The sequence below is a fragment of the Homo sapiens genome, chromosome 3, assembly GCF_000001405.40.
Source record: "Homo sapiens chromosome 3, GRCh38.p14 Primary Assembly".
Taxonomy (NCBI): domain Eukaryota; kingdom Metazoa; phylum Chordata; class Mammalia; order Primates; family Hominidae; genus Homo; species Homo sapiens.
This window is the reverse complement of record NC_000003.12, coordinates 196,767,545-196,787,789: the sequence shown is the minus strand read 5'-3', so window position 1 is coordinate 196,787,789 and position 20,245 is coordinate 196,767,545. Positions and strand designations below refer to the sequence as shown.

The window sequence follows — 20,245 nt, the reverse complement described above, 5'->3', positions numbered from 1 at the left end:
GGAAACAGGAGGAATCAAGAAGCATCCTACCCTCCAAACATTCCACACATCTCTGTCTCTCTGAGACTGAAAACGACATGCAACTAAACTTCCCTGTAAACAGGCTACACAAAGGCTCTGCAGATTCCCCACCCTCAGCTACAAAGGTGGATGCAATTCTCCCCTATTTGCCCTACAAAGTCTATACAATTCTTTTTTTTTTTTTTTTTCTGAGACGGAGTCTCGCTCTGTCGCCCAGGCTGGAGTGCAGTGGCGCAATCAAGGCTCACTGCAAGCTCTGCCTCCCGGGTCCACACCATTCTCCTGCCTCAGCCTCCAGAGTAGCTGGGACTACAGGCACCTGCCACCATGCCTGGCTAATTTTTGTATTTTTAGTAGAGATGGCGTTTCACCTTGTTAGCCAGGATGGTCTCGCTCTCCTGACCTCGTGATCTGCCGGCCTCGGCCTCCCAAAGTGCTGAGATTACAGGCATAAGCCACGGTGCCCGGCCCAAAGTCTATACAATTCTAATCAAAGTAGCCACAGGTTTTTTTTTCTGTTAAAGTACATGATAAACAGATTCTAAAATTTATAGAAAGATGCAAAAAGCCAAAGCAATTAACAGGATTCTGAAGAAGAATCTGGTTAAGAGATTTGTTCCATCAGGCATTAACAATCAATATAAGAGCCAGGTGTGGTGGCTCGCGCCTGTAATCCCAGCACTTTGGGAGGCCAAGGCTGGCAGATCGTTTGAGCTCAGGAGTTTGAGACCAGCCTGGGCAACATATGAGAGCCTGTCTCTACAAAAAATACAAAAATTAGTTGGGCATGGTGTTGTGCACCTGTAGTCCCAACTACTTGGAAGGCTGAGGCAGGAGGATCACTTGAATCTGGGAGGTGGAGGTTGCAATGATCCAAGACATATCACTGCACTCCAGCCTGGGTCACAGAGTGAGACCCTGCCTCAAAGAAAAAAAAAAAAAGATTGTAAGATATAGTAATCAAGACAGGGTGCTACTATTAGCTCAGGTACAGACAAATAACCTAATGGAATAAAGCAGAGAACACAGAAACAGACTCTCACATGGAAACCTGACAAATAATGGTGGTCTAGGTCAGTGGGGAAATAGAAGACTCAATAAATGGGTCTGGGATACTATCCAAGTTTAAAGAAAAAAGTGAAAGTGAATCTTTTCACAAATATACAAAAATAAAATCCAGCTAGCTCAAAGATTTAAAGTGTAAAAGGCAAGCTATAGAAAAAATACAGGAAAATGTCTTTATGACCTCAAGTAAGACAAAAATTTCTTAAAAAACAAAAAGCTCGAACCACAAAAAAGAGAAATTGAAGACAGGCACGGTGGCTCACGCCTGTAATCTCAGCACTTTGGGAGGCTGAGGCAGGTGGATCACAAGGTCAGAAGTTCAAGACCAGCCTGGCCAACATGATGAAACCCTGTCTCTACTAAAAATACAAAAATTAGCCGGGCGCGGTGGCAGGCGCCTGTAATCCCAGCTACTCGGGAGGCTGAGGCAGGAGAATTGATTGAACCCGGGGGGCGGAGGTTGCAGAGAGCTGAGATTGAGCCACTAGACTCCAGCCTGGGTGACAGAATGAGACTCCATCTCAAAAAAAAAAAAAAGAGAAATTGATCAAATCCACCATATCAAATTAATAACTTCTATTCATTAAAATATACTACTGAAAGGGTGAGAAGGCAAATCACATCCTGGAATACTATCTTTAACATCATATAACTGGCAAAGGATTAGTGTATAGACTACAAGGAATGTTTATTAATAGAAAACGAAAAAGCTAACCACCAAGTAGAAAAATGGATTAAAGACCTTGATATGGTTTGGCTGTGTCCCCACCCAAATCTCATCTTGAATTCTCATGTGTTGTGGGAGAGACCCAGTAGGAGGTAACTGAATCATGGGCAGGTCTTCACAAGATCTCCTGGTTTTAAAAGGGGGAGTTTCCCTGCACAAGCTCTCTCTCGTTGCCTGCTGTCATCCACGTAGGACGCGACTTGCTCCTCCTTGCCTTCCGCCATAATTGTGAGGCCTCCCCAGCCATGTGAAACTGTAAGTCCAATAAACCCTTTTTCTTGTATAAATTACCCAGTCTCAGGTATGTCTTTATCAGCAGTGTGAAAACAGACTAATATAGATAGTGAACAGATATTTCTTTCTCTTGAACAGATATTTCACAGAAAGCACACAAGAATGGTCAATTAACCCGAAAAGATGCTCAGTTTTTTGAGTAATCAGGGAAAGGCCAATTTAAAACACAATGAGCTAGTATTTCACCCCTCCCAGAGTTGCTGAGGGTGCTCAGCAATGGGAACGCTCATCTTCTGTGGGTGAGAATGTACACTAAAAACTTTTAGAAAACAATCTGACAAACCTAGTCAAGTCACACACGGGAACAGCCTGTAACCCAGCAATTCTAATCCTAAATATACATCTCTGAATGACCTTTAAATCTTTGGTCAGGACCCACACCAAGAAATACATTTTATATCCTGACTCAGTATACACATAACTAAAACAAACTGTTTCATAAGACAACGTTTTCACTGTGTGCACAACACTCTGATTATATTATTCTAGCGCATTTAGTGTCGTCCACTATACAGAGTTCATAACCCACCAATGCATTGGTTTTTAATATGAGCTGCACATCATTATCATCTGGGGTATTTAAAAAATTAAAAACAGTGCTCGCTTCAGCAGCACATATACTAAAATACGAACGATACAGAGAAGATTAGCATGGCCCCTGCGCAAGGATGACACGCAAATTCGTGAAGCGTTCCATATTTTTCACTGGCCATCAGAGAAATGCAAATCAAAACCACAATGAGATACCATCTCACACCAGTTAGAATGGCAATCATTAAAAAGTCAGGAAACAACAGGTGCTGGAGAGGATGTGGAGAAATAGGAACACTTTTACATTGTTGGTGGGACTGTAAACTAGTTCAACCATTGTGGAAGTCAGTGTGGCGATTCCTCAGGGATCTAGAACTAGCAATACCATTTGACCCAGCCATCCCATTACTGGGTATATACCCAAATGACTATAAATCATGCTGCTATAAAGACACATGCACACGTATGTTTATTGCGGCATTATTCACAATAGCAAAGACTTGGAACCAACCTAAATGTCCAACAATGATAGACTGGATTAAGAAAATGTGGCACATATACACCATGGAATACTATGCAGCCATAAAAAATGATGAGTTCATGTCCTTTGTAGGGACATGGATGAAATTGGAAATCATCATTCTCAGTAAACTATCGCAAGAACAAAAAACCAAACACTGCATATTCTCACTCATAGGTGGGAATTGAACAATGAGATCACATGGACACAGGAAGGGGAATATCACACTCTGGGGACTGTGGTGGGGTGGGGGGAGGGGGGAGGGATAGCATTGGGAGATATACCTAATGCTAGATGACGAGTTAGTGGGTGCAGCGCACCAGCATGGCACATGTATACATATGTAACTAACCTGCACAATGTGCACATGTACCCTAAAACTTAAAGTATAATTAAAAAAAAAAAAAAGAAAAAAAAAATTAAAAACAAAACCAAAAACAATGCCAGGGTAAGCCCCTAAAGATGCTGATTGCTGATTCAACTGGAATGAAATGGAGTTTGAACACAGATTTATTAAGCTTCCCAGGTGATTCTAATTAGCAATTCAAGAACTAAACTAACAGATCACCTGAAGTTTGAGAAGCTTTGCCCTACACCCAGTAAGATGTACATTCAACATTATCCATAGCAACACTATTCATGAAAACAACCCAAATGTCTACAGATAGGAGACTGGCCAAATAAACTGCAGTATATTTACAGTGTAGCAATACACAGCAGTGAAAGTGAACAAACTACACCACATACATCAACAAGTCTCAAAAGCATAAAGCTGAGTGAAAAGTATGTGGAAAAAATGCAGACAGCATAATTCCATTCATAAAAGGTTCCCAAACAGGCATGCCTAAACCATACATATTTGAGGGTGACTAGATATGTTATAAAATTACAATAAAAATGCAGAATGGTGGATATTGGGGACGAAGAGAAGGTTAGGATGGGGTATAGCAGATGGGGACTTCAGAGGTACTGATAAAATTCTAGGCTGGGTGGTAGGTACAAGGATGTTTTATATACACATATATATACGTACACTTTTTTTTTTTTTTTTTGAGAGAGTCTCACCCTGTTCCCCAGGCTGGAGTGCGGTGCCACGATCTTGGCTCACTGTAACCTCCACCTCCCGTATTCAAGTGATTCTCCTGCCTCAGCCTCCCAAGTAGCTGGGATTACAGGCACGAGCCACTGTGTCTGGCCCAGTGATTCTTAATTGGAGTAATTTTGCCCCCAGGGGATAGGTCCCTGCAACAACAAATTATTTGGCTCCAAGATGTCAATAGTGTTGAGGTTGAGAAACCCTGAACTAGACATATATTTTGCTGAGGACACATCAGTCTGTGAGTACTGAGGCTGCCTCCGACACTTCTGAGGGCATTATAGAACACCTGGTAAAAGACAGTATTTACTACTCAAGAATCACAAAAACTCTTAATTCCAAAACACAGTTGGCTCCAGGGATTTCAGACAGGGGACTGTGGGCCCTATCTCACCATTCTTATAATAGCAGGTCTCCCTCAAGTGTCACAAATCTCATTAAAATATGGCCAAGGTCTCAGAAAACAAAGGAGATGAATATAGAAATTCATTGGCCATAACAAGCAGGGTGAGAAACAAATTTACATTTTATTCTTTTAAAAATCACAATTTAAAATAAACTAGTCTTTTTAATAGTGCCTGTATATTAGCACCGATTGTTTTCATGATCTGTTTTAATGTTCTCACCATAAAAGTTATCAACATGGGTAACATACAATAATAAACCAATGCTGAGACTCTGAAAGCCAGAAGCGCTATTTACCTTTCTCTGTGCCTGAGAATATGGAGATGATTTTATGCCTGGGCTTTTTCTCTTCTGGAACAGAGGGCAAAGGTTTCAAACTGTGATTGGCTGACAAAGGGTCTTTGCCTCCAGTGCTAAAGATGGTGCTGCTCATTCGCACAGGAGGTGCTGGAGGCTTATCTTCCAGTTCTCCGTTATCAGACATGATTCAGAATTATGAAATGGCCTGGAATTGGAAAAAATACAATTAGTAACAAAGTAAAAAATAGCACGAACAAGCAAAAAACAGTAATAACTACCCCTGCCACAACTCCCAATTAGAAAATATTATCCATTTATAGTGACATTTGCAAAATCTGGAAAAATCAATGTGTAAAAGATGTAACTCTCTTGAGTTTACCCCCAACAAAGCTGGTAATGGTCAGCTGAAAAATGTTTGAAAAGTCAAATGGAAACATCATGGTACTACCAAAAGCTACTGGTCTAATCAATGGATTCTAAGAGACCTTCTCAATAGAAAGACAGACAACATGAAATCTTTTTTTTTTTTTTTAATTCCAAAGAGGAAAAATATGTTCTGACCAGCAAATTATAGGATATCTTGGGGAGGTGCACCTCTAGAGCAGAGACAGATGCTTGGCTATTAAGGGTATCAAACAGCACCCCTCCAATCTGATTTCACTCCAACCTTGTAGTTACAACTTAGCCTTCACAGTAACTTTCCTAAAAAATTCTTATTTATTTTCAAGATGGAGTCTCGCTCTGTCACCCAGGCTGGAGTGCAGTGGCGTGATCTCAGCTCACTGCAACCTCTACCTCCCAGGTTCAAGCAATCCTCCTGCCTCAGCCTCCTGAGTAGGTGGAATTACAGCCGCATGCCACCACTTTCGGCTAATTTTTTTGTATTTTTAGTAGAGACGGGGTTTCACCATGTTGGCCAGGCTGGTCTCGAACTCCTGAACTCAGGTGATCCGCCCACCTTGGCCTCCCACAGTGCTGGGATTATAGGTGTGAGCCACGGCATCCAGCCTAATCTTTGTATTTTTCGTAGAGATGAGGTTTCACTACGTTGCCCAGGCTGGTCTCGAATTCCTGATCTCAAATTATCCACCCGCCTTATCCACCCAAATTGCTGAGATTATAGGCGTGAGCCCCCACGCCTGGCCAAGGAATCTTGAAACAATGCACTGCTGATACAGTATTTGGTCTCTGAAAATTTGACATCCTAATTTACACACATTAGTCTTTTGAGTTTTGCAGATAATCACAAAGGAGCTTGACGAATCTGGATATACTGACAAAATTAAACACAGAGCATGGCTGAAAGGCTGAGTGTGGCCACATCCCTCAGGTTCTGTGACACCTGTAAATGCCCTGTCCAGGCAGTTGGGTAATCTGTCTTAGCTACATGGCTAATTCAGTGAAAACTTCAACCCTGCTACCCATACTTCTAGGTTTAAGTCTTTAAAAAAGTAGATGACACATACTTGAAATCAGCAGTAAAAGGGAGAGGATCCGTAACTTATACATATGAGTTCTGATACAAAACCATATGTTAGAAAACAACATATTTTCCCACTAAACATGGTTTTCATTGGTAACTGGATCTTAATTTGATTCTAAGATTATTTAATGCATTTAAGCAAACAAAACCTTGCATATATACAATGAAAAGAATGCTAACTGTTCAGAACTTAAAAACAAATTTTTTATTTCATTTGAATGCTTATACCTGAAGAAAAGTAGGTATAAGTTGAGAAGATTAGCTGGGCACGATGGCTCATGCCTGTAATCTCAGCACTTTGGGAGGCCGAGGCGGGTGGATCACGAGGTCAGGAGATCGAGACCATCCTGGCTAACATGGTGAAACCCCGTCTCTACTAAACACACAAAAAGTTAGCCAGGTGTGGTGGCAGGCGCCTGTAGTCCCAGCTACCTGGGAGGCTGAGGCAGGAGAATGGCGTGAACCCGGGAGGCAGAGCCTGCAGTGAGCCGAGATTGCGCCACTGCATGCCAGCCTGGCGACAAAGCAAGACTCTGTCTCAAAAAAATAAAATAAAATAAAATAAAAAAATTTGAGAAGCTTATACCAAATCTTACAGCTTTTATTTTCCTTGATGGGAGTGTGTCACTAGCACTATGGTATATTTTCGCTCTCAAAATGATTATTTTTTCATTCTACAAAAGAGAAAGAATAAAAAAAGGTAAAGGAGCAAAAACATTTCTGGGAGTGATATGGTTTGGCTGCATCCCCACCCAAATCTCATCTTGAATTCCCACATGTTATGGAAGGGACCTGGTGGGAGGTAAATGAATTATGAGGGCAAGTCTTTCCTGTGCTGTTCTCCTGATAGGGAGTACATCTCACGTGATCTGATGGTTTTAAAAAGAAGTGTTTCCCTGCACAAGCTCTCTCTTTGCCTGCCACCATCCACGTAAGACGTGACTTGCTCCTCCTCGCCTTCCGCCATGATTGTGAGGCTTCCCCAGCCACATGGAAATGTAAGTCCAATTAAACCTCTTTCTTCTGTAAATGGCCCGGTCTCAGGTTTGTCTTTATCAGCAGCATGAAAACAGACTAAGAGAGGGGGTAACTAGCTAGAGAAGGGCTGGGAAAAGGGAGTGAAAAAGATCTCTATCTTTGTGTGCAAAAGGCTGTCTGGTCTAAGGAAGAAATGAGGGCAGGATCTAAGGCAGTGCTGACAACATGCCCTAAAATGATTCTTCCTAACCAGCTCATGACATCATGCGGGATTTGTTTTGTTTTGGGGTAGGATGCAAGCAGCATGCAGCTGGCTATTCCTAAGTATGGGCTACTACCAGTGTGCATTACAAGAGGGGCCCTGTCTTGCTACAGACAGAAGAAAGACAAAGCTTAGTAACAACATTGCGGCTGGGCGCGGTGGCTCACGCCACACTTTAGGAGGCCAAGGTGGGCGGATTGCTTGGGGTCATGAGTTCGAGACCAACTTGGGCAACATGGTAAAACCCTGTCTCTACGAAAAATACAAAAATTAGTCAGGTGTGGTGGCGCACGCCTGTAGTCCCAGCTACTCGGGAGGCTGAGGCAGAGGAATCACTTGAGCCCGGGAGGCAGAGGTTGCAGAGCTGAGATCATGCCATTGTACTCCAGCGTGGGTAACAGAGTGAGACATCATCTCAAAAACAAAACAAAAAACAACAACAACAAAAACAGGGCACAATAATTAGTGTAAAGTGCTATAAATTCTTTCCTCAAGGCTCCCACATAGATGGAATGTGAGTAGAAACTGCCAATGCACCTTCAATAATAATAATAAATCAGCTGCATGTTATCCAGTTTTTTGGTTAACAGCATATGTTCCAGAATCAGACTGCTTTGCATGGAATCCTGTTTCCACCACCGACTTACACTTCACCACGTCTCATGACTCCTTGAAGGAATGGCTGACTCTAGGCATGGGAAAGGGAAAATGGAAGATGAGCCCAGAGCACGCTGTAGTGTCAGAAGGCAAGGGAGCACTTTAAAAGGATGAGGAAATGCCAAAGGGACACAGGAAAGATTTTCCATAGGCCAATGCTGGGATGATTTGAGCAAATTAGTATACTATTAGATTACGACCCAAAGTATCAAATAAGTATGTTATTCCATACTGACATAAATAAATGAATAAGTAAATAAATGGGAGAAAAGGAACAAATCTTTCTTACAGAAGAATTGCAAATAAAATAGGTAAATATGTCTCCCTCTAGGAGTTTCAGCTTAATCCTTGTCTCCTCTTGAGTGAAGGCAGGACTTAGTGACTCACTTCCAAAGAACAGTGTATGGCAAGGGAAAAATAACTTTGCAGTGAAAAAACCTGGCAAACATGCCTTATTAACCAAGTGACCACAGTTAACATCACCAGCGACAAGTCATGACAATATTACTTATCCCCTAATCTAATGTGATGGGACGCACACTTCACCTCTGTGGTATTCTTCCCCCAAACCCACAGCCCCAGCCTAATCACGAGAAAAACACCAGACAAACCCCAGTTGAGGGATATGCTACAAAACTCCTGACCACTACATTCCTCCAAACTGTCAAGGACACGAAAAACAAGACTGAGAAACTGTAACAGATCAGAGGAGACACAACCATAAACGCAACGTGACACCCTGGATTGGATCCTGGAACAGAAAAGGGGCACTGGTGAAACAACTAGTAGAATCCAAATAAATCCTAGAATTTGGTTAACAGTGAGGTACCAATGTTGGCTGCTTTGTTTTGACATACGTATCACGGTTATGTAAGATGTTAACATTAGAGGAAGCCGGGTGATAGGTATACAGGAAATCTACTATCTGTGCAATTCATCTGTAAATCTAAAATTATCCCCTAATAAAAACTCTATTAAAAAGGGAGTTAGTAAGTTCCTCAAAAATTAAATATAGAGCTACTATGCGACCCCGCAATTCCACTCCCAGGTATATAGCCAAGAGAACTGAAAAACATGTTCACGCAAAAACTTTGTATGAATGTTCACAGAAGCATTCATAACAGCCAAAAGATAGACACAACCCAAATATCCATCAACTGATGAACGGATACACAAAACGTGGTGTATCCATAAGATGGAATATTGTTTGGCCGCAAAAAGAAGTACCGATACACGCTGCAACATGGATGACCCTCGAACACTAAGTGAAAAAAGCCATAAAAGGCCACATATTGTAGGATTCCGTTTCATATGAAATGTCCGGAACAGGGGCATCCACAGAGACAGAGAGGAATTTAGTTCATAAACACGGCTGATTAGTGAGTGGTTGCTAAGGAGTGAGGGAAATGAGATGGGGCTCCTAATGGGTATCAAGTTTCTCTGGGGGACGCAAATGTTCCGGTATGAAGACAGTGGAGATGGCTGCACAGCCCTGTGAATACACTAAAACCACTCAATTGTACACTTTAAAATGGTGAATTTTTGGTTATGCAAATTATATCTCACTATCTACTCACAGAATAAAGATTAAATGAGCTAACAAAGATTAAAAGCTGCTGCAATTGTTATCATCATTACTATTTATAAGACTCTGTGCTAGACATTAGAGAAAATAAAAGACGACCTGAGTCCTCTGTAAGAGTTCATAACCTGGAGAAAGACCAACACGTACTTGTTTTAAGTTAGGTCAGGCATTCCCTTTATTGGTATCTGCTCTCAACACAGGCATATTAAAGCTACTCAGCTCCTTCAAAGTAGCCGTTCTCAAAACATTTTGGCCACAAGACCCTTTACACTTGTCAACATTAATGAAGAGTCCAAAGAGTTTTTGTTGATGAGGGTTATGTTTATATATACTTACTGTATGAGAAATTAAAACAAGTTTTTGGCTGGGCATGTTGGCTCGCGCCTGTAATCTCAGCACTTTGGGAGGCCAAGGTCGGGGGATTACTTGAGGTCAGGAGTTCGAGACCAGCCTGGCCAACATGCTGAAACCCCGTCTATACTAAAAATTTAAAAATTAGCTGGGCGTGGTGGCGCGTGTCTGTAGTCCCAGCTACTCGGGCGGCTGAGGCAGGAGAATAGCTTGAACCTGGGAGGCGGAAGTTGCAGTGAGCCAAGATCATGCCACTGCACTCCAGCCTGGGTGACAGAGTGAGAATCTGCCTCAAAAATACAAAACAAAACAAAAAAAACCAAGTTGTTTAAATAATTCATTTAAAAATAACAACAAACCCATTACATGTCATACATTTTTATGAAAAATGACTATTTTCCAAAACAAAATAAGTTGAGTGAGAAGACTGATATTCTTTGACATTTCTGCAAGTCTTTTTCATGTCTGGTGTGGTAGAAGACAGCCAGATGATCAGATCTGCTTCTGCATTCAATCTGTTGTGCTGAGTTGTTTTAGCTGAAATTTACGAAAAAAATCTTGTCTTACGCAGATACCCACCTGAAAACGGAGGAGCATTTTAACAGCTTTCACATAATTGTGGATTTTCTTCTTTGGTATTACACTAAACCTGACCTTCCTAAAAGGTTCATTGTGGAATCTGAAATCACAGCAATGAATCTTCTTGTACCCTATTACATTAAACCAATTGACTCTCTTGAATTTTGAATGAATCTGTTACCCATGCAGAAGTTTTACAATGTCATGAATTGGTTTTTGGAAAATATTGGTTCCCTGGGTTTTGAAGATACTCCCAATGTTGACACATCTCGTTATGCAGTAAAAATAAAACCACATTCATTAATATCACCATCTATGTCATCAGAGTAAGTCAAGCGCTGAGAAACTGCTAAAATCAACATAGTGGATACAAGTTTTCTAAAACTCTGATTTTTGATTGAAAGCCTAAATTGTGTCAGTAGCAACAAATTCTGTCACTATTTTTGAGGAAATGTCCGCAAAATACGAAGTCTGAACAACCGGAATTTGTGGGTCAGTTGTTCTTCCAAATAAAAAAAGGTGTTGCATGAAACAGAGGGCTAGTTTAGCTCTCTTGCAGAAGTGGTTATCTCCAAGACAACGGTTCATACTTTGGTACGCAGAAGTACCTTATGAGTACTTCCCATTTTGCTATATAGAATACTTGATCAATAACTTTATTGTTCCATTAAGTATATTATTACGTGAAACTGGCACTTTACTGCAAGCACTTGGCCATGGCCTTGGTATGGGTTAAAGTAACGAGCAATTTGACCCACTTCTGCTTTTGCCCCATCAATCCGTACGTCAACACAGTGTGAAAGCAAATAATGTGTTAAGAATATTCGGAAAAAGGTTTTGACATCAGACTCCCCCACGGTATTGCAGACCACACTTTGAGAACTGCTGCTTTAAAGCGTACTCCATCTTTACCCTTCACCTACATACCCCAAATGCTTTGATGTTTTACGGAGGTGGCAGAAGACTCATATTTATTTCATCTTATACTCGACAGAACACATTTTAACAGAACAAATAAGCAACAGCTAGATTTCCAAGCTAGGGTACAGAAACCTCTTCAATCCTTAACATGTTGAAAACCCAAATGCATGCAATGGTATTTACCATACTGCTTTTCATTACAGTATCAGAAAGGTCAGAAGGCTTTTTCACGGCTGAGCCAGAGAGACATTTTCATTCATGAGAAGCAATGCTAAATTCTAAGCAAATGACATTACACAGCAACTTTCAGAACACAGCCTTTCCTTACATTTTGGTTATCCTTCGGTGGCTCACGCCTGTAATCTCAGCACTTTGGGAAGCTGAGGCGGGCAGATCACAAGGTCAAGAGATCGAGACCATCCTGGCCAACATGGTGAAACCCCGTCTCTACTAAAAATACAAAAATTAGCCGGTTGTGGTGGTGGGCGCCTGTAGTCCCAGCTACTCGGGAGGCTGAGGCAGGAGAATTGCTTGAACCCGGGAGGCGGAGCTTGCAGTGAGCCGAGATCGTACCACTGCACTCCAGCCTGGGCCACAGAGTGAGATTCCGTCTCAAAAAAAATAAATAAATAAATATTTTTTCTACTGTTCAATGTTAGTATACTATGCAGTAACTTATGTTCTGTACATACTCAGTCTAATAGAACTAAAGAGGAACCACAGCGTTGTGTTTTTCGGAACTTTTTAGTGACTACACACTATCATGCTGAATGAGCTGTCTCAAGGAAATTCCAATTAACATGACGTACCCTTTAAGCAATACTTGCCTGAACAAAACCCTAATTTAATAGTAAACTTGAGTCAGAGATGTCCCTAATGAAATTATTCAAGATGACAACCATGCCGCCACAATTCTAATATACCACGAGTGACTAGATCTCAATAAATATAAGCATGGCCTTGGATACAATACTGATGCCTCTACCAGCTGCTTAGCTGGGGATTTACCACATCATCTCTGGATTTCTCTCAGTCTCTATGTTTTCAGTTGTTGTTGAGTGGAAGAAATTCTATTAGGTTGGTGCAAAAGTAGTTTCTATTACAAGTAATGACAAAAACTGCAATTACTTTTGCACCACCTAATAACTAGCTCCCTAGAGGGTTTCTCTGTGTTCAGTTTTTTTGTTGGGAGAAAGAAGTCAGAATTGGTTAAATATACCTTAATTATCATGCAGAAGTTGACTAAAGGTAACAAGTGCTATGACTCTCCCTGGCTACACATCGTCCTGACTAGCTGCCCATAACCTACAGACTGAGGACTAAACTCTGGCATTAGGGCCACTGAACTCTGAACTGCTGAGTCAATTTCATCTCACGTGACTGCACCATGTCAATCCTATGCCTCATATTCCTCAAATACACCAAAGACTTTCCTGGCCTAAATAATTTTTATGTATCTATTTCTGCATTCTTAGCTTTTCTTTTTCCTTTTATCTACCCAACCAAATCTTTCAAGGCTTAGTGAAAATGATTTCCTTCCTGAGGTCAGTCCTTGCCCAAAAAGATCCCTCACATCCTCTAAACTCGAGTTACACAGGAAAACAAATTCACACGGTATTAAGATTGTAAAGGATTAAGTCATCTAGTCCATCTGCCTTGTTTTATATGTGAAAAAAAACCAACTTACCCAAAAGTAAGTGGTTAGCCTAAAGGCACATAAATCTAATTACTAACAGAACTAAGACTAGAACTCAAGTTTCCTAACAACTCTGAATCTCAGGCTCTTTTTTCTTACTTATGCTAATATACTGGGCCATTCTTCGGCAATGAATTACAACTATAAACCCTTAGTTATTTTATCTGCTTTTCCTACCTAAGACCTCAAGCAATTCAAAGGCAGGTACTGTGCATGTATTAGGCAATGTTTACTGATTTATGGTACCATACTGTGTCCACAGATTTTTTTTGTTGTTGTTTTTTTTTGAGACGGAGTCTCGTTCTGTCCCCAGGCTGGAGTGCAGTGGCGTGATCTCGGCTCACTGTAACCTCTACCTCCTGGATTCTCCTGCCTCAGCCTCCCGAGTAGCTGGGATTACAGGAGTGCGCCACCACGCCCGGCTAATTGAATTTGTTGTTTTGTTTTGCTTTTTTTTGAGATTCTGTCGCCCAGGCTGGAGTGCAGTGGCGTGATCTTGGCTCACTGCAACCTCTGCCTCCTGGATTCAAGCAATTCTCCTGTCTCAGCCTCCCAAGTAGCTGGGAGGCGGATACCACCACGTCTGGCTAATTTTTGTATTTTTGAGTAGAGATGGGGTTTCACTATATTGGTCAGGCTGGTCTCAAACTCCTAACCTCAGGTGATCCACCCACCTCGGCCTCCCAAAGTGCTGGGATTACAAGCATGAGCCACTGTGCCCGGCCTGAACTTGTTTTCTTAATCAAACAGCACTAGACAACATCAACTACCCCATATTAACAAAAATATATTTAGAAAGATTTATACTTTTCCCCTCACAGCTGATTCATGACCTTCAGTTCTCTTTTCCATAAAACAGTATTTTTTGTGTGTGAATTGCTACTTCTGACAGTGTCAAATGCCTGAAAAGTACCAAATGAGACTGTGATAAGGTTCCTTATGTTCATCTTATATGTTAGCCAAAAACAATATTAGGTATAAAAATAATTCATGGTAAAATACTGATTTACCTTATGTTTTGCTTAACCATTAGTAACAAATGTTTTACAAAAAAAAGAGCAAACGGTAAGTAGTGCCTCTCTCTAAATCTGTTCAAACACTTTTTGCTACTTTTCAGTGAAAAACAAGTAGGCGAAACAAAAAGTGTGCCCAAAACACACTGTACTCTTCTAAGAGGCCCACTGTTTAACTGTGACACGACTCAAACACAAACAATTCCTCAATTGTCTGCTGAAGGAGACTAGGGGTGGCTAAATATACAGCAGAAACGAACAGCGGAGTGGTATCTGGAACCGGTCAGCCCAAATAGTGGAGATTACTAAACTTACTATTATCTGCTGGGATCAACTACAGTACTCCAAGTGTAAACCATCTATTACTGAAAAACACAATGATTTAAAAAGCATTTTTATTTACTTTTTATATAAATAACAAGTGAGCCTTAATTTTTCAGTACATTATGAATGCAGTAACACTAATTAATCACCCAGACTTTCAACAATCTCTCAATAAGCTGCAAGAGCCCAACACCAGTGGCCCTTCCCTCCCCACCTGCCCCGTCAAAAACACAAAAGAGCCTCAGATGTCTTTGAGAGCAGAAGCATGAATGAAAACATTTCCAAATCACCTGAAGATGACAACACACACTCTAAACAGAAGGTTCACAACTCTGAAGCAAGAGTGTTCTCATGTGGTGACGGTGACAATGGCCATAACATCAGTCCCACTAGTAGCAAATCCAGAAAGAAAAGAGGGAAAGCGAGAAAAGAGATGCAGAAAACACAATCTGGAGGCTGGTAAAAAAGAAGGAAACTAAAACTTCGCTTCAAACTCTAAGATAAAGGTCTGGATAACGTATCAAGTCTTTTTAAATGCATGGATGGGCTAGTAAAATAAGAGGGATGATTCCATAGAGCCCAAACCAAAGCAAAACCAGGAACTCAAAAAGAGTAAGCAATTTACTAATCTACTTATTCTCGAGGGATTCTGACTAAACCCCAGAGACCTCATGCTTCCACTTTGATGGCTGCCACAGGGGACAGGTAGTAAAACCCAGTCTGCCTAATGTTGAAAAATTAACAGGCGTCCCTCCCACATAAGGCTAGGCCTGAAAAAGGCTATAATGCACATAACAACCAATCAGGAATAAATCCCTCTGGACAGAAAGGAACAAGAGAACCTTTAGCATTTTGAAAATGGTGATGGCAAGAGGAGGAAAAATCTCTGAAAAACACAGATATGGAATGCTGTGTCAAAGGACACATAGAAGCAGCTTGAAAATAAAAGCAGAATAGAGCGAATATGAAAACACCATACAGAACTTTCAATAAGAAAAAATAAATGAAAGCTAAAACTCAACATTTGAAGTAAAAAGCAGCATAGACATAGTGTTAGACAGAATTAATGAACAATGAACTAATGAACTCATTGCAGACAATGAGATAGAAAATATGAAAGAGGAGGCCGGGCATGGTAGCTCACGCCTGTAATCCCAGCACTTTGGGAGGCTTAGGCGGGTGGATCATCTGAGGTCGGGAGTTCGAGACCAGCCTGACCAACATGGAGAAACCCCATCTCTACTAAAAATACAAAATTAGCCAGGCGTGGTGGCAAGCACCTGTAATCCCAGCTACTCAGGAGGCTGAGGCGGAAGAATTGCTTGAACCTGGGAGGCAGAGGTACAGTGAGCTGAGACTGCACCATTGTACTCCAGCCTGGGCAACAGAGCAAGACTCTGTCTCAAAAAAAACAGAAAAAGAAAATATGAAAGAGGAGATGAGTAGATTAGATGGTCTAACATACAACTACTTGGAGTTCCAGAAGGTGGTAGAATGAAGGACTGGTCCACTGAACAAATTAATAGCTGAGAAATTTCCAGAACTGATAAAGAACACAAATCTGTAAGTAGAAGTCTAATGAATCAAAAGCAGGATAGAAAATTATCTACAAGTAGACACATCGTAGTGATATTAATAATATCAAAGACAAAGAATTCCTAAAATTGGCCAAAGGAGAAAAAAAGACAAATTTCACAGAAGCAGTAATTGAATGGTCAGCTTACTTCTTGATATCAACAATGAAAGCAAGAAGACAGTGGAGTATCATCAGTGTGTTGAGACAAGAAGCTGCCAACATAAACTGCAAACTCAACAAAACTATTTTTTAAGAATGAGGTAAACAGAAACATTGAGACAATTGTTTTTTTTAAAAGACCAGAATCACTACACACTCTTAAAGTCAATTAAGTTTAAAATAACAAAAAGATAACTAGGAAAGAAATACATGTTTAGAAATTTGAAAACACCTCCAACAAACCCCAGTTAAAAAAAGACATAATGAAAATTGAAAAATATTTAGAACTGAATGGAGATTTAAAGACTATATATAAAAAACTCAGGCCAGGCATGGTGGCTCATGCCTGTAATCCCAGCACTTTGGGAGGCCAAGGTGGGCAGATCACTTGAGGTCAGGAGTTTGAGACCAGCCTGGTCAACATAGTGAAGCCCTGATTCTATTAAAAATGCAAAAATTAGTCGGGCGTGGTGGCATGCGCCTGCAATCCCAGCTACTCGGGAAGCTGAGGCAGGAGAATTGCTTGAACCCGGGAGGCGGAGATTACAGTGAGCCGAGATGGTGCCACTGCACTCCAGCGTAGGAGACAGAGCTGGACTCTGTCTTTAAAATACAATACAATACAATAAAATAAAATACTATATATAAAAAACTTGCAGGATTGAATAAACAAAATGTGGCATATATACACACAAACAATTCTTTTTTTAAGAGATGGGGTCTTGCCGTGTTGCCCAGGCTGGAGCACAGTGGCTACTCACAGGCATGATCAGAGGGCAGCACTGCAGCCCTTCAGCTCCTGAACTCAAGCAATCCTCCCACCTGATCCTCCCAAGTAGCTGTGCTGAGACTACAGGTACATGCCACCATACTGGCTCAGGAATGAAATTCTGATATATATTATTAATAAAAATGAACTCTGAAAATAATATGCTAAGTAAAATAAGCCAAACACAAAAGGACAAATACTGTATATATATACTTTTAATGGAGATAGGGTCTCACTCTGTCACTCAGGCTGGATTACAATGGCATGATCAGACCTCACTGCGGTCTAAACCTCCTGGGCTCCAGTGATCCTCCCACCTCAGCCTCCTAAGTAGCTGGAACTACAGGTGCATACTACCATCCCCAGCTAACTTTTAAACTTTTTAGCAGAGACAAGGTCTCACTATGTTGCTCAGGCTGGTCTTGAACTCCTTAGCTCAAGCTATCCTCCCACTGTGGACTCTCAAAGTGCTGGGATGACAGGTGTGAGCTGCCATGTCCGGCCTAACAAACACTGTATTAATTTCACTCAAGTGAGATACCTTAGTCAAATTCATAGACAGAAAGTAGAATAAAGGTCATTAGAGACGGGGCAAAGTGCAACATGCAGAGTTACGGCTTAATGGATGCGGAATTTCTTTTTCTTTTTCTTTTTCTTTTTTGAGACAGAGTCTCGCTCTGTCGCCCAGGCTGGAGTGCAGTGGCATGATCTCAGCTCACTGCAAGCCCTGCCTCCCAGGTTCAAGCAATTCTCCTGCCTCAGCTTCCCCAGTAGCTGGAACTGCAGGCGCCTACCACCACGCCCAGCTAATTTTTTGTATTTTTTTTTTTAGGAGAGACGGGGTTTCACCGTGTTAGCCAGGACAGTCTCGATCTCCTGACCTCGTGATCCGCCCGCCTTGGCCTCCCAAAGCGCTGGGATTACAGGCGTGAGCCACCACGCCTGGCCGGGATGCGGAATTGCTGCTTGGGATGATGAAAATGCTCTGGAAAAGGATGGTGGTGATGGTTGTACAACATTGAATATACTTAATGCCACCAAATTATACACCTAAAAATGCTTAAATAATACATTTTATGTTATGTATATTTCACCAGCAGCACAACAAAAAACTAGGATACGAAGCCCTTACAGCTCTGAATTTTTATTTATATTATTTTTTTGAGACTCACTGTCACCCAAGCAGGAGTGCAGTGGTGCAATAACGGCTCACTGCAGCAACCTCCTGGGCTCAAGTAATCCTCCCACCTCAGCCTCCGAGTGGTTGGCACCACAGGCGTGCACCATCACGCCCAGCTAATTTTTGTATTTTCTGTAGAGAAAGGGCCTCCCTATGTTGCCCAGGCTGGTCTTGAACTCCTGGGCTCAACTGATCCATCCTCCTTGGCCTCCCAAATTGCTGGGATTATAGGTGTGCACTACAGTGCCCAGCTAGCTCTGAATGTTTACATCAAAAAAGGAGAACTTCCAGCCTGGGTAACAGAGCAAGACCCTGTAAAAAAATAAAAGTAGGCCGGGCACGGTGGCTCACACCTGTAATCCCAGCACTCTGGGGGGCTGGGCGCGGTGGATCACTTGAGGTCTGGGAGTTCGAGGCCATCCTGGGCAACATGGTGAAACCCTGTCTCCACTAAAAATACAAAAATTAGCTGGGCATGATGAGACGCGTCTGTAATCCCAGTTACTCAAGAGGCTGAGGCAGGAGAATCGCTTGAACTCATGAGGAGGAGGTTGCAGTGAGCCGAGATTTCACCCCGTATTCCAGCCTGAGGGACAGAGCAAGACTCCATCTCAAAAATAAAAATAAATAAAAATAAAGAATTAGCTGGCCATGGTGGCTTGCACTTGTAATCTCAGCTACTTGGGAGGCTGAGGCAGGAAGATCACTTGAGCCCAGGAGGTTGGGGTTGCCACTGCACTCCAGCCTTGGCAACAGAGTGAGACCTTGTTTCAAATAAATAAATAAATAAATACATACATACATATATAAATAAAATAAAGGAGAACTAAAAATTAACGAGTTAAGCATCCAACCTAAGAAGTATAAAAAACAGTAAAATAAATCCAAAGAATGTAGGAAGGAAATAATCAAGATAAATCAGAAATTACTGAACAGAAAACTAATATACAAAAAGGACTATCAATAAAGCCAAAAATAGTGTCTTGGGCAAAACTAGTAAAATATCTCGGCAAAATTAATCAAAACAAAGAGAGTAAAAAATAAACATGATTAGGAATGAAAAGCAGTTCTGCTGGCATTCAATGAGCAGGGACCACAGGTATCCGATGTTTTGCAATGTGCTCACAACTCCTCAGTGTCCCACCACGTGTTGATTTATCATTTTAAAACTTATAATGATCTGAACTGAGGACAAAATTCTATTTCACATATGAAAATATTTTTCCAGTTTTAGCATACACTGAATTTTCCAGATATGCAACCACTATGTGAACCAAGAGGAGCTTGTACTTTGGCTCAGACTTCACCAAGAAGTTTATTCACAATTTTGGAAATCATGTCACTAGCAATACTGTGCTCATGCTGGTTGAGTCACCAACAGCAGAGTCCATATGATGAGACCGCACTGTGGTCACCCCTATGTATAGACACAAGTCTCTGGTCACTGCATAATGGCTTTTAGTATAGTTGTGATCAAGTATTTACAAATAAAAACATGTATTTCAGCCGGGCACGGTGGCTCACGCCTGTAATCCCAGCACTCTGGGAGGCCGAAGCGGGCGGATCACGAGGTCAGGAGATCGAGACCATCCTGGCTAACATGATGAAACCCCGTCTCTACTAAAAGCACACACAGAAAAAATTAGCTGGGCGTGGTGGCGGTCACCTGTAGTCCCAGCTACTCGGGAGGCTGAGGTAGGAGAATGGCGTGAACCCGGGAGGCGGAGGTTGCAGTGAGCCAAGATCATGCCAC

The 20,245-nt window shown here is 41.6% G+C and overlaps 1 protein-coding gene and 1 pseudogene across 4 annotated transcripts in view, besides 2 other annotated features; one reads left to right on the top strand and one right to left on the bottom strand.

Moving 5' to 3' along the window:
• The window catches only part of PAK2 (p21 (RAC1) activated kinase 2), a 92,791-nt gene that overhangs the window by 44,858 nt on the left and 27,688 nt on the right, over positions 1-20,245 (bottom strand). For 3 of the 4 annotated variants that reach the window (NM_002577.4, XM_011512870.3, XM_047448218.1), the window contains exon 2: positions 4,957-5,164. In NM_002577.4, coding sequence (NP_002568.2) covers positions 4,957-5,143 — 187 coding nt within the window. In that variant the 5' untranslated portion in view covers positions 5,144-5,164. Of the gene's footprint in view, positions 1-4,956; positions 5,165-8,219; positions 8,366-20,245 lie in introns of those variants that run through there. The other variant, XM_047448219.1, reaches the window with a different exon arrangement.
• Positions 184-890: an enhancer, noted in NCBI's record as "H3K27ac-H3K4me1 hESC enhancer chr3:196513771-196514477 (GRCh37/hg19 assembly coordinates)". NCBI's record gives its function as "activates a minimal SCP1, AML or CMV promoter by ChIP-STARR-seq in naive H9 embryonic stem cells {active_cell/tissue: H9 hESC(naive)}" and the evidence as "EXISTENCE:reporter gene assay evidence [ECO:0000049][PMID:30033119]".
• On the top strand, positions 2,704-2,809 carry RNU6-42P (RNA, U6 small nuclear 42, pseudogene; annotated as a pseudogene).
• Positions 14,912-15,168: a silencer, noted in NCBI's record as "fragment chr3:196499493-196499749 (GRCh37/hg19 assembly coordinates)". NCBI's record gives its function as "represses an EF-1alpha promoter that drives an FKBP-Casp9 reporter gene in an ReSE screen in HepG2 liver carcinoma cells {active_cell/tissue: HepG2}" and the evidence as "EXISTENCE:reporter gene assay evidence [ECO:0000049][PMID:32094911]".